Source organism: Homo sapiens, chromosome 20 (assembly GCF_000001405.40).
Source record: "Homo sapiens chromosome 20, GRCh38.p14 Primary Assembly".
Lineage (NCBI taxonomy): Eukaryota > Metazoa > Chordata > Mammalia > Primates > Hominidae > Homo > Homo sapiens.
The window spans coordinates 51,023,366-51,035,882 of NC_000020.11; the positions used below are offsets into that span (position 1 = coordinate 51,023,366).

At 49.9% G+C, this 12,517-nt stretch overlaps 1 annotated feature.

Annotated features, from left to right (window-relative positions):
• Nucleotides 11,282-12,266: an enhancer, noted in NCBI's record as "H3K27ac hESC enhancer chr20:49651184-49652168 (GRCh37/hg19 assembly coordinates)". NCBI's record gives its function as "activates a minimal SCP1, AML or CMV promoter by ChIP-STARR-seq in naive H9 embryonic stem cells {active_cell/tissue: H9 hESC(naive)}" and the evidence as "EXISTENCE:reporter gene assay evidence [ECO:0000049][PMID:30033119]".

Consider the following 12,517-nt stretch of genomic DNA (forward strand, 5'->3'; position numbering starts at 1 on the left):
GTCCGGGACTGCTCGCGCTACGCCCTCCCTCCCGTTGCCTTCTTCCCCGTCTGCTCTCCCAGGAGCGACCACCCTGCGGCCCCTTCGCCTGCACGCGACAGCCTTCAAGGTCCCCGCGCTCCGCTGCCCTGGAGCTTCACGCACCAGGCGGCGCGGCAGCCTCCTAGGGTCGCGCGCCCTGTCAGCTTTCCCCGCGGTGCAAGTGCTCCGGTGGTCCCGGGTCCGCGCCCCTAGCAGCACCGCCCCAGGGTCTACATGTGCTAGATATTAAAACCCCACTCTCCGCTGCCCCGGGGCCGCGCTCCACGCGCTTACACATCCTGGGAACCACATGCGCCATGTCTCCTGCCTTTCCCTGGAAGTCCTGGAAGTCCAAGTGCACTGCTGCCTCTGGGTCCCTCGCCCCCCTACCCCGGGCAAATACTGCATCCTTGAGGCCCTCCACGCGCTGCTGCCCTGGAGCCGAACGCTCCAAGCAAGCTTCCACATCCTGGGGGCCATATATCGCGCGCCTTTTCTCGACCTCCTAGACCAATGTTGCCCTTGGGCCCTTCCTGCCACCGCCACCCAGGGACTGCCAGCATCTTGCTGTGCCAAATTCCTAGGGCCAGTACGTACCGTGCCAGGTGTTTTCCCTTCCAGTCCCGCGGGGCCGAGGCCCCAGAGCCCTCCCGGGCTAGCAGAGCCGCACTTCGTCGTCCACTCCCCTGGCCGGTGCAGGGCACTTGGACCAGGTCCTGGGGTCTTGCTCCCAGTGTGGCCGCCTAGCCTCGGAGTTGGTAGGATGCTGCACAGATGCTGGAGGTTGGGTTGGAGGGATCTATTGGGTTGGAGGAATCTACTGAGTTGGAGGGACCTATTGGTTTGGAGGGATCTGTGCTGCTGGCAGGGCTGGCCTCTTAGGGTGGCTTGCCTTGCACTCCGTTCCTCTTCTCCTTTCTGTCTCTTGCACTCCGTTCCTCTTCTCCTTTCTGTCTCTTGCACTCCGTTCCTCTTTTCCTTTCTGTCTCTACTGCCTTTGCCTATCATCAGAGAACCAAGAAAGGACATGAAGAAACCCTGCTGCCGACCAGCCTGAGGCCTTCTGCTTGAGTGGGGCTCGGGTTGGGGAGTCGTGGGTGCTCATTAAGTGGGTTAGGGTTAACCCTAAGAAATGAGCGCAGGGCACACTAGCCTGCGCGGCAGTCCCAGCCGGGTGGAGCATAGGAGTTCCAGGTTATAGTGCACTATGATGGCACCACTGCAATCCAGCCTGCGTGACTGAGCGAGATCCAGCCTCTAAAACAACAAGAATAAAAACACTGGCTTACTGGTGAGGTGGAGGCCTGGACAGACAAGGATCTGCCTAAGGACCTGTTTCCAAGAGCTCACCTTCTACTGGGGGCTTGGCAGAATTGGGAAACTGCTGAAATACGTGATTGCAGAATGAAGCCAGAGAGGCCACTTTAGATAGAATAATGGGGGAGGGCTCCTGTGGAGGTGATGGTTACATGGAGCCCTGAGCCAGAAGGAGCCCATCTGGCAAGATGGGAAGAGAGCTTTCTAGGTGGACAGAACATCAAAGGCACTGGCCTTCAAGCAGGAGAGAAGGAGGCATGTCTGAGAAACATCAAAGAGACCAACCAGCAGTGTGGGGGAGGGGCCTGAGTGGGGTGGGGTGGGCTTTTGTTGTCAGAGGGTCCCTGGATTACATATTGAGAAACACTCCTCTTGTGGTGGATCAGGCTTCTGCCTTCCTTTCCCATCTGAAATTTTTTTTTTTTTTTTTTTTTTTGAGACATAGTCTCTCTGTGTCTCCCAGGCTGGAGTGCAGTGGTGTGATCTCAGCTCACTGCAACTTCCATCCCCCTGGGTTCAAGCGATTCTCCTGCCTCAGCCTCCTGAGTAGCTGGGACTACAGGTGTGTGCCACCATGCCCAGCTAATTTTTGTATTTTTAGTAGAGACGGAGTCTCACCATGTTAGCCAGGCTAGTTTTGAACTCGCAACCTCAAGTGATCCGCCAGCCTCAGCCTCCCAAAATGCTGGAATTACAGGCGTGAGCCACTGCACCCAGCCAGAAAATTGCTCTCTATCTTGTTTTTGAGACAGGGTCTGACTCTGTCACCCGCTGGAGTGCAGTGGTGCAATCATAGCTCACTGTAACCTCTAACTCCTGGGCTCTAGGGATCCTCCTGCCTCAGACTTCTGAGTAGCTGGGACTACCACACACCACCATGCACCACTAATTTAAAACAAAATATATTTTTTGCAGAGACAGGCGGGTCTGGAACTCCTAGGCTTAAGACATCCACCCACCTTGGCCTCCCAAAGTGCTGGGATTACAGATGTGAGCCGCTGCACCTGGCCATGTTTCTATCTTTTTTACTTGCGTATTATCTGTGTCCCCACTGGGGACCAAGCTCCATCAGGGCAAGGACTGTGTGCTGTCTCTCCCCTCTCCAGCAGCTCCCACTCTGCTAGGCACATACAGAGCAGGCTTCTTAAATGATTCCTGGAAATGATTCCTGGGGGAATTCAGGACAGTTTTCTGGAATAGATGTGACTGCGTCAGAGAGTCAGACTCCTCACTGATGCTCACAGGGTAAGGATGCAGAGCAGGGCCTCTCAGACTTTACTGTGCATCTGAATCCCCCTGAGGGCTTATTAAAACCCAGACGGCTGGCCCCCACCCTGGAGTGGCTGATTCAGTGGGTCTGGCGTAGGGTCCTTCTGAGGAGTTCCCTGCTGATGCTCATGCATCAGGTCTGGGGATCCCACTTTGAGAACCACTGATATTGAAGACTTGAACGCCTACCCAGCTGGGTCTGACTTCGGAGCCCTCATGAGGTCCCGGGACAAACTCAAGCCAGCTTCTTCTTATGTAGGATCCATAGGAACTAATGGCCACCTCTAGAGATGGGGCTGGGCTTATTAGAACACTATGCACCTGAGTCAAATTTCATAGTGACCTGCAGACAGAAGACCTGGTACACTGTGTGGAGACCGTCAGTGAGAACAATGACTTCCACCCGGTCCTGCCTACCCGCAACATACACACTCACTTGCTGTACCCAGGAGTTAAATTACTGCCTGATCTTATCCCTGACTGTGCTAAACAATGTCCAATAAAATCCTTTTAAGTCCTTTTAAGGAATTCCCTCTTTGCAGTTCCTCCCTCCCTTAGAGCCTTCCAGATTTTTCACTCTTCTCCTCATATCTTCATTTTCCTCTTGAAAAGCATCCTTCCCCAAGCTGTTGTGTGGAAAGAGATGTTGATGATACCCATGGAAGCTTCCTGAGAAAATGGGAACCGTCAGTGCTTGCTGGGCAGCTACGAGGTGCCAGGTGGTTGCTGGGTGATTTGAAGACATCAGAGCCACAACTGGGCCCGGAGGTGGACTCTGGCACGCAGACCTGTTTTATTTGTCCCTACTGAGTTAAAATTTTTAAAAATTAATTTAAAATTAGTTGCTGACCTTTAAAAACTGGGAGATTTCATGTAAAATTTTTTCTTTTGAAACACTGGGAGATCTGGCCAACATCCTTTACCCACACAGCATGCTGGCGCTGGGCAGTGGCTTCTGCTCCCTGCGGTGTGCCCCTCTACCCACATCATACCATCTCGGTTACTGCCAGGCCCCTGGAAGCAAGAGTTGGTGACTTTTCATGTTGGCAGATTGTCTAGGGTTGCGCGGTAAATGGCAGAGCCAGATCCGAACCCAGGCCTGCCTAACCCAAAAGCCCAAGCTTGTCACTGAAATAAAAACTGCTGTTAATTTTTCGGGCAGGAGGAGAATGTGACATTGCTGGCCCTGAGGAAATACCTTAAAAGGGAGTTACTGTCAGCAGTTTAAGAATATGCCTTCCTTCCCATCCATAACCAGCTGTCAGTAAGCCATAAAGTTCTGGGCTGTTTTTCCAGGGCAGGAAAAGTTATCCAGAGCTGTCCATTTTTTTTTAACCCATCTCCTCCTTGAGATGAAAAGGCTTGGATTTGGTTGGAGTTGGGAGGAATCTGTTGAGAGTGGTGGGTGGGGTGGGATTTTCTTGGTTTGGAGTTAGCTCTTTGGACAGGGGATCCCACTGGGTGTCTGTGGGGTGAAGGCTGGTGTTTGAGTCAAGGCAGGGATTGGGATGGGGGCATTCTCCTTCTCTCTCTCCACAGACACTCTGCCCCAGGCACTTTCCCTTTCTGTTCCTCTGATTCCCCAAATCCTGTCACCTTCCCGCAGATTTCCATATAGCCACTTCCTGCAGGTCTCAGCCCATTGTCACCTTGGGATTCCTGGTCTGGGATGGGGTTAGGTTGCAGTAGGTGAGGTTGAGGCATGCAAGGGTGTGACTTTATTGAAGTCTTTCTTTTAAAATGTGATATTTTGCTTCTTGTGGATTTTTGTGGACTAATTTTGATTTTTAAAAAATATTGTTTCAAAATGTTATTTACCTTGATGATTGAGCTTTTGGGCACCTCCTTACTTTTTTTTTCTTTTCTTTTTTTATTTTTTTTGAGATGGAGTTTCTTTCTTGTTGCCCAGGCTGAGGTGCAGTGGCACGATCTTGGCTCACTGCAACCTCTGCCTCCCGGGTTCAAGCGATTCTCTTGCTTCAGCCTCCTGAGTAGCTGGGATTACTGGCACCCTGCCACCTCACCTGGCTAATTTTTCTATTTTTAGTAGAGATGAGATTTGACCATGTTGGCCAGGCTGGTCTTGAACTCCTGACCTCAGGTGATCTGCCCTCCTCAGCCTCCCAAAGTGCTGGGATTACAGGTGTGAGCCACCACATCCGGCTCCCTCTTACATTTTGTACCCTGCCTGCCTCATCCCAGCTCCTGCCCTGCTCCTAGTCCAGGGTTCTTTGGCAAGAGCCCTGGGCTGAGAGTCAGGGGACCTGGGTTCTGGTCCAGCTTGTGTCACTAGACTAGCTGTGTGGTTGGACACAATCTCCCTGCATCCTGAGCCTCAGCTGTACCATCTATTCAGGGAAAAGGTTATATCTAACTCTATTCCAGAATGATCTAAGACATCTGCTAGAACTCTGACCGGTGGTGCATTGTGTCTATCTCCTGGGGGCTTTGGAGCCATTTGAGCCTTGCTGACCCTGGCCATTATGGGGTGTCACTCACTGTTTATTTCTTGGCTCTACACTCGAGGTGTTCCTCTGTGCAAACACAAAATCTTTGCAGCAGCTGTATGCAATGAGCCTCAGTGCCTTCATGCCTTTTTCCTGTCCTGGAGGAAATTTCTGTTTTGGAAATGTGGTTCTGTACCTTATTCTTTGATGTCCCGCTTTTTTGTTTTTTGGTTTCATTCCCCAGATCATTGGATAAACATTGTTTAAGGACCTTCTATATGCCAAGCACTGAGCAAGCACTTGGGATGCAAAAGACACGTTTTCAGCCCTGGAGGAGCTCACCTTCCACTGCAGGAGACTGCCCATGAGCAGATCCGGGGACCGGGAGAAGCCTGCAGCAGTGGAGGACTTCCAGGGAGGATGAGGACACTTCGAGGGAACTGTGCACTGTCTTTTCTCCTGGGAGGAAGCCTGCATCCTCTGTGCTGTCTCCAGATGCCATCAGCCCCGAGCAGTGTATAGCACCTTCCTAATAGAATCCTCCTCAAGAGAGTGCTGCAGTGTTACATTTTGGATCCACACTCGAAGGGACGAAGCTTGAAGTTAAAGCTTCCAGTTGTCTCTAACCCCATCTCCCTCCATCCCTCCTCTGGGTTGTGGTTTGTCCCTCAGTTTTTCCGCCTCCTGATAACTTTCACAGCCCATTTCCAAGTCCACCTCCTGCGTTCAGCTTTCCTCCACTGCTCCAGCCCTCAGGGGACTCTTCCCCCTACCCTCATCCTAAGCCTTTATCAACTAATAGGTACTCTCCCTGGCACTTAATTAAGATCTGTCTAGAGTTCCTTGGTGCTTCAGCCCAGCCACGAGATTCTGGTTCTTGCAGGGAGAGGGCACTGCCTGATAGTTGGTAATAGCTGGAGGGCTCATTCCCCTCTACTCAGAGGGTGCAAACTCATGTATCTTCCCAGGACTTCCATGTTTTAAAAATAATGAAGTATGTGCCAATATTTGAAAATTAGGAGATTTTCGCATACGAATCCAGATTTCTGGCTTCCCTTGAAAACTTAGAAGATGTGCCAATTCTGAACCTGCTTTCCTGCCTGGCAAAAATTGGCTAGAGCTGGTAGCAACATTTTCCTTTAGCTGGGGCCTGGGTTCTCCAGTTTGTCACACTCCTCACCACTCCTTAAAGTCTAGAACCCTTTACCTGTCTACCTGTCTGGTCCCTGTAGGCATCTGAGATTTTAAGTCCTGGTTCAACTTTTCTCTTTCTTAAGAAGAGAGACAGCTCATCAGAGCACTGCACACTGGCAGATGCTTAGGTAGCTCAAAGGGAGGGTGGGCGTGGAAAAGGGGATGTGTGAGCACCCAAGACTGTTGAGTGGTTGGGGGTTGGAGAGAGTCAGGCAGGAGGGTGCTTACTATGAATCCAGTCCATAGATACTTAGTATCAATGAACTCAGATGGGTGTTTGAACCTGGCTGATGTGATGTGGGTTATGTGTACAGGTAGAGCTATATTTCATGTGAATACAAAACAACACAGTTATAAAAACCAAAATGAATCTGACTTCTTGAGAGAATGTGCCATGTGCCAGATACTATTCTAAAGTTTTTATATTTCATTCTCATAACAACCCCACATAGTGGGTAACATGATTTTCCCTGTTTCTGGGATGGGGTAAATGAGACACGGGTGAATAACTTGCTCAGGATTACACAGCCAGAACATGAGAAGCTGTGATGGCAACACACACAGAAAGACCCTGAAGCTGGATTTTACAGCAGGATCCGAGGTGCTGGTAGATGCTGGATTTCGTTATTGTTGTCATCTTTCCTCCCCCAGATTAGAGAGCTATTGCTGTGTTGTCCCATCTCTTGGGATTGTAATTTGTCTCCCTCCTGCTAGGAGTCTGTCAGGCTTGAGGCTTTCTTCCTTAGCAGGGGGTTGAAGCTAGCCAGCCCCTCAGGTGTATTACTGTAGGCTGTTTGATCTGGACACATGCAGAAGTATATGGCTTTCGCAAGAGGAGGGAAGGGTGGGGGTGGGGAAGAGAAGAAAGCAGTGGTCCTGCCAGCCAGGTCCAGGTCCCCTCAGACAGACCCTGGATCCCAGAAGCACAGGGCCCACCAGCCAGGTCCCCCAGGATGAGCTCATTCCCCATGTCCCCGGATCTGAGGTCAGCGTCCCATTGCACCATTCTAGCGTCCGTCTTGCTGCAGTGGAAGATTTTTCGTCCCCTTCCCGTTACTTTGCATTGCTTCTGGGCTGCGTTCCCTCTTATTTCATTTTCATCTGAAATCCTGAGCTCACCCTCCCTAGCAGCTGACGGGACCATTTATTTCCGAGGCTGCAGCCAGTCGCAGGGCTGTCGACAGCTGAGTGGAATGCTCTGGGATTTTGCCACCCTGTTTCGTTCCTGCAGACGGGAAGGAAGACAGGAGAACATCTTCATTTTGTAGCAGCAAAGGCTGTCAGAGCCTTGGAGCCTCAGCTGTCATCCCCTTTGGCCTGAGATGCAATTTGTTTTGTCCAGAACACTGCCTGGGTGGACTTGGTCCCTCGGTCATTTGTCCTTTTGGTCTCAAAACCTTGAGAGAGCGTGGTCTGTGCTTTGCAATTGTCCTGTCAAATGCCCCTGGATCTTCATAGCTGGAACAGCTCCTAGAGGTCGTTTTGTCAGAGGTTCTCTGTGTTCAGAGAGGGTGAAGAACTTGTGGGGGTTGCATAGCAAGTGACTGGAAGAGGCAGGACTGACAGGTTCCTGGGTCCTAGGCCCATCCCTTTTGCGTTATATTAGGTTGCCTCTTTAGAATCTCAGAAGGCCAAGCCTCAGGGAAACCTCCCTATGCCCCAACTTCCTGGAATGCTCTTCCTCTAGCCCTTTTCAGGGTTCCTCCTTTCCCTCCTTTGGGGATCAGCTCAAGTGTTGCTTCCTCAGAGAACACGTGGAAAAGTGCACTCATTTCCCTTGGATAAATTCTTAGGAGTGAACTCATTGGGTGAAAATCACATGTCCGCTGGGCACAGTGGCTCACACTTGCAATCCCCACAGTCACTCATGCCTGTAATCCCAACAGTGGCTCACGCCTGTAATCCCAACAGTGGTTCACGCCTGTAATCCCAACAGTGGTTCAAGGCTGCAATCCCAACAGTCACTCACCCCTGTAATCCCAACAGTGGCTCACGCCTGTAATCCCAACAGTCACTCACACCTGTAATCCCAACAGTGGTTCACACCTGCAATCCCAACAGTCACTCACGCCTGTAATCCCAACAGTGGTTCATGCCTGCAATCCCCACAGTCACTCACGCCTGTAATCCCAACAGTGGCTCACGCCTGTAATCCCAACAGTCACTCACACCTGTAATCCCAACAGTGGTTCACGCCTGCAATCCCAACAGTGGCTCACTCCTGTAGTCCCAACAGTGGTTCACACCTGCAATCCCCACAGTCGCTCATGCCTGTAATCCCAACAGTGGTTCATGCCTGCGATCCCAACAGTCACTCATGCCTGTAATCCCAACAGTGGCTCACGCCTGTAATCCCAACAGTCACTCACACCTGTAATCCCAACAGTGGTTCACACCTGCAATCCCCACAGTCACTCATGCCTGTAATCCCAACAGTGGCTCACACCTGCAATCCCAACAGTGGCTCACTCCTGTAATCCCAACAGTGGTTCACGCCTGCAATCCCAACAGTCGCTCACACCTGTAATCCCAACAGTGGTTCACGCCTGCAATCCCAACAGTCATTCACACCTGTAATTCCAACGGTGGCTCATGCCTGTAATCCCAACAGTGGCTCATGCCTGCAATCCCAACAGTGGTTCATGCCTGCAGTCCCAACAGTCACTCACACCTATAACCCCAACAGTGGCTCCCACCTGTAATCCCAACAGTGATTCACGCCTGCAATCCCAACAGTCACTCACACCTGTAATCCCAACAGTGGCTCATGCCTGTAATCCCAACAGTGGCTCACTCCTGTAATCCCAACAGTAGTTCATGCCTGCAATCCCAACAGTCACACTCACACCTGTAATCCCAACACTGGCTCATGCTTGTAATCCCAACAGTGGCTCAAGCCTGTAATATCAACAGTGGTTCATGCCTGCAATCCCAACAGTCACTCACACCTATAATCCCAACAGTGGCTCACGCCTGTAATCCCAACAGTGGCTCACGCCTGTAATCCCAACAGTGGTTCACGCTTGCAATCCCAATAGTCACTCACGCCTGTATTCCCAACAGTGGCTCATGCCTGTAATCCCAATAGTGGTTCACGCCTGCAATCCCAACACTCACTCATGCCTGTAATCCCCAAGGCAGGAGGATTGTTTGAGCTCAGGAGTTTGAGACCAGCCTGGGCAATATAGTGAGACCTGGTTTCTATTAAAAAATAAAAAAAAATTAGCCAGGCATAGTAGTGCACACCTGTAGTCCCAGTTACTCAGGAGGCTGAGGCAGGAAGATGACTTGAGCCTGGGAGTTTGAGGCTGCAGTGAGCCATAATTGTGCCACTGCACTCCAGCCTGGGTGACAGAGTGAGACCCTGTCTCCAAAAAAAAGAAAAAAAGAAAATTTATATGTCTTCAATCACAGTGTTATGCTACCTGCTTGTACTGGGGTCTTCTGTCTGTAAATTATGTGAGGACAAAGCCCATTATTATTTGTAGCACTGTGTTTCACTGCTGTCCTGTTCTCAGCAAGGATGAATGTGAATTGAATGAATGGATGAGTGTACGAACGAGTCTCTTTTGGATTGATAGCTGTTGGGAGATAATTTTCCATGGGAGTCTTGTGTTTCTGCATGTCTTGCAAGCAAACATCCTGACTGCCTTTGTTCCAGATTACATTTTAGAGAATGTTCACATAGTAAACTGCCTTGAAAGATAGAGATGGTGTCTTTCTTCAGAGCAAAGAGCAGGTATGTTTACTATCTGTTATAAAAGATTTGGGTTTCTTAATATGATTCAGCCTTAAAAAGAAAGGAAATTTTGGCACACACTACCACATGGATGAAAATTGAGGTCATTATGGTAAGTGACATGAGCCAGACACAAAAAGACAAATACTATATGATTCCACTTACATGAGTACCTAGAGTTTTCAAATTCATAGACGCAGAAAGTATAATAGTAGTTGCCAGGGGTTCAGGGAGGGGAAAATGGGGAGTTGTTCAGTAGATACAGAGTTTCTGTTATGCAAGATGAAAATATTCTGGAGATCTGCTACACAACAAGGTGAATACTTAAGACTACTGAACTGTCCACTTAGAAATGGTTGAGGTGGTAATTTTATGTTGTGTGTGTGTGTGTGTGTGTGTGTGTGTGTGTGTGTGTGTTTGCCACAGACACAAATGCTGTTTTGGGTTTCCTGAGCTTATGGTTCCTCTCCTATAATGCAGCTCTCCACATGGCTTTGCACTGCCCTGTGGGAATTGGGACTTGAGGAAGTGATGCAAGTAGCAGTAATCTGGCTACTGCTGTTGCTGTGAGTCATCAACTGTCCTTTGTCTTTGACCCAGGAGTCTTGCATCTTCTGCCAGCATCCACAAAACTTGCTAACTTGCAAGTAGTGTAAATCTCAGACTCTTCGCAGTAGACAATCGTGATTTCTGTACATTTTCCTTGGAGCACTTTTGACAACTGTAGGTAAACACTTGTCTTTAAGTAACTTTAAATGCTTGTCTGCTTCATGAAACCCTAAGCTTTTTTTTTTTTTTTTTTGAGACAGAGTCTCACTCTGTCGCCCAGGCTGGAGTGCAGTGGAGCGATCTCAGCTCACTGCAACCTCCACCTCCCTGGTTCAAGCAATTCTCCCTGCCTCAGCCTCCTGAATAGCTGGGATTACGGGCACCCACTGCCATGCCCAGCTAATTTTTGTATTTTTAGTAGAGATGGGATTTCACCATGTTGGCCAGGATTGTCTTGAACTGCTGGCCTCAGGTGATCTACCTGCCTCGGCCTCCTAAAGTGCTGGGATTACAGGCATGAGCCACCACGCCTGGCCAACCCTGAGCTTTCTTGTTTGCAGTTTTATTCCCAGTGCCTGGCACACAGAAAATGCTCAATAAATCTTTGTAGAATGAATGACTGGGTAGATGGATGGATGGATGAATGACTGCTTGTTGTCTTGATCCCACCATTGCTTCCTCAAGAAGAGAACTTCTGGAACAGATGGTCTGGCTTGCCGTCACAGCTATTTGGAAGCAAGCTCCCGAGGAGTCATCTCTCTTTTGTGCCAGGCTGGCTCTAGTCTTCCTCACCACCCCCTCCCCCATGCTTCTCCTACACAAATGCTGCTGAGAGCACTTCAAGGGGGAGGAAAGTCCCACTTCTCTCCATCTGCCAGCTGTTTGCTTGTGATGATCAAGGGTCACTCTGGTCATCTTACAGAAGAGGACATGGAGGCTTATAGAGGTCAAGGCTTCACAAAACAGGCCTGGGTTTGGCCACTCGCTGTCTGGTCTCAGATGGGTCCAGGTTCTGGGGCTTCTGCCCCATACACTACCAGCAGCCCTCTGCACACCAGGAGATGGAACTTAGAAGGATCTCAGGCTGTTGACAAGAGGGTTGGCCCACAGTGGTTTGGTTCAGTGAGCACTCACTCCAGTCCTGGTTTTAGGTGGGCACTGTCCCACTGGGTGATCCTTGAAGACCTCTGAGCAGCTGCCTATAGAAGGCCCCTGTCTGGCTCTGAAGAGCTCAGGGGGATACTTAATTGGCAGTGGGTGGTCTGCAGGGCTTGGCTTAAGCCCTAAGCTTTTTTGTTTTTTTGGTTTGAGACAGAGTCTCACTCTGTCGCCCAGGCTAGAGTGTAGTGGAGCGATCTCGGCTCACTGCAACCTCTGCCTCTGGCTTCTGGGGCTCTCTGGATGCTGACTCAGATCCCATTCACTTTGTCCCTTCAAGTCCGGTCCCCTCCTAGCTGAGTCTCCCCCAGCGCCCTGGGAATGGGGGTCTCTGGCAATTTCTATGTTCTCTTTTCATATCCTCATTATGGTGTAAACTTTATGCCTTGCTCCCCTTGGGGCTGTCCCTGTTTGTTTTCAAGAGCTGCCTTTTGAAGCGAGAAAAAGATAAAAAAAGAACCTAATCAATTTCTCCTTTCATTTCTGCTGAAACGATTTTAATTCTTTTTTACACAGTGTAGATCCCTCTGACTTACCAGGAAAGAGTGACACGGGAAGGCTAGGGAGAGAAGACAACGAAAGCATAAAGCCTCACATTTCAAGACAGCTCATTGTGGCATTTAGAAATGGGGATGTGGGGAGCAGAATTTGGACTCCCAGGCTAATGCTTTTCTGAGCATGTCAAGTTATATCCCTAGTCCGCCCAGTGAATATTTATTCAGCACCTATTGTGTGCCAAATGCTTTCTTGACTCATGAACCCTGACTGCTTAAAAGATATGCTTTACTCTTATTGGTAATGCTGGTAGCTCTTCTTGCGTTTC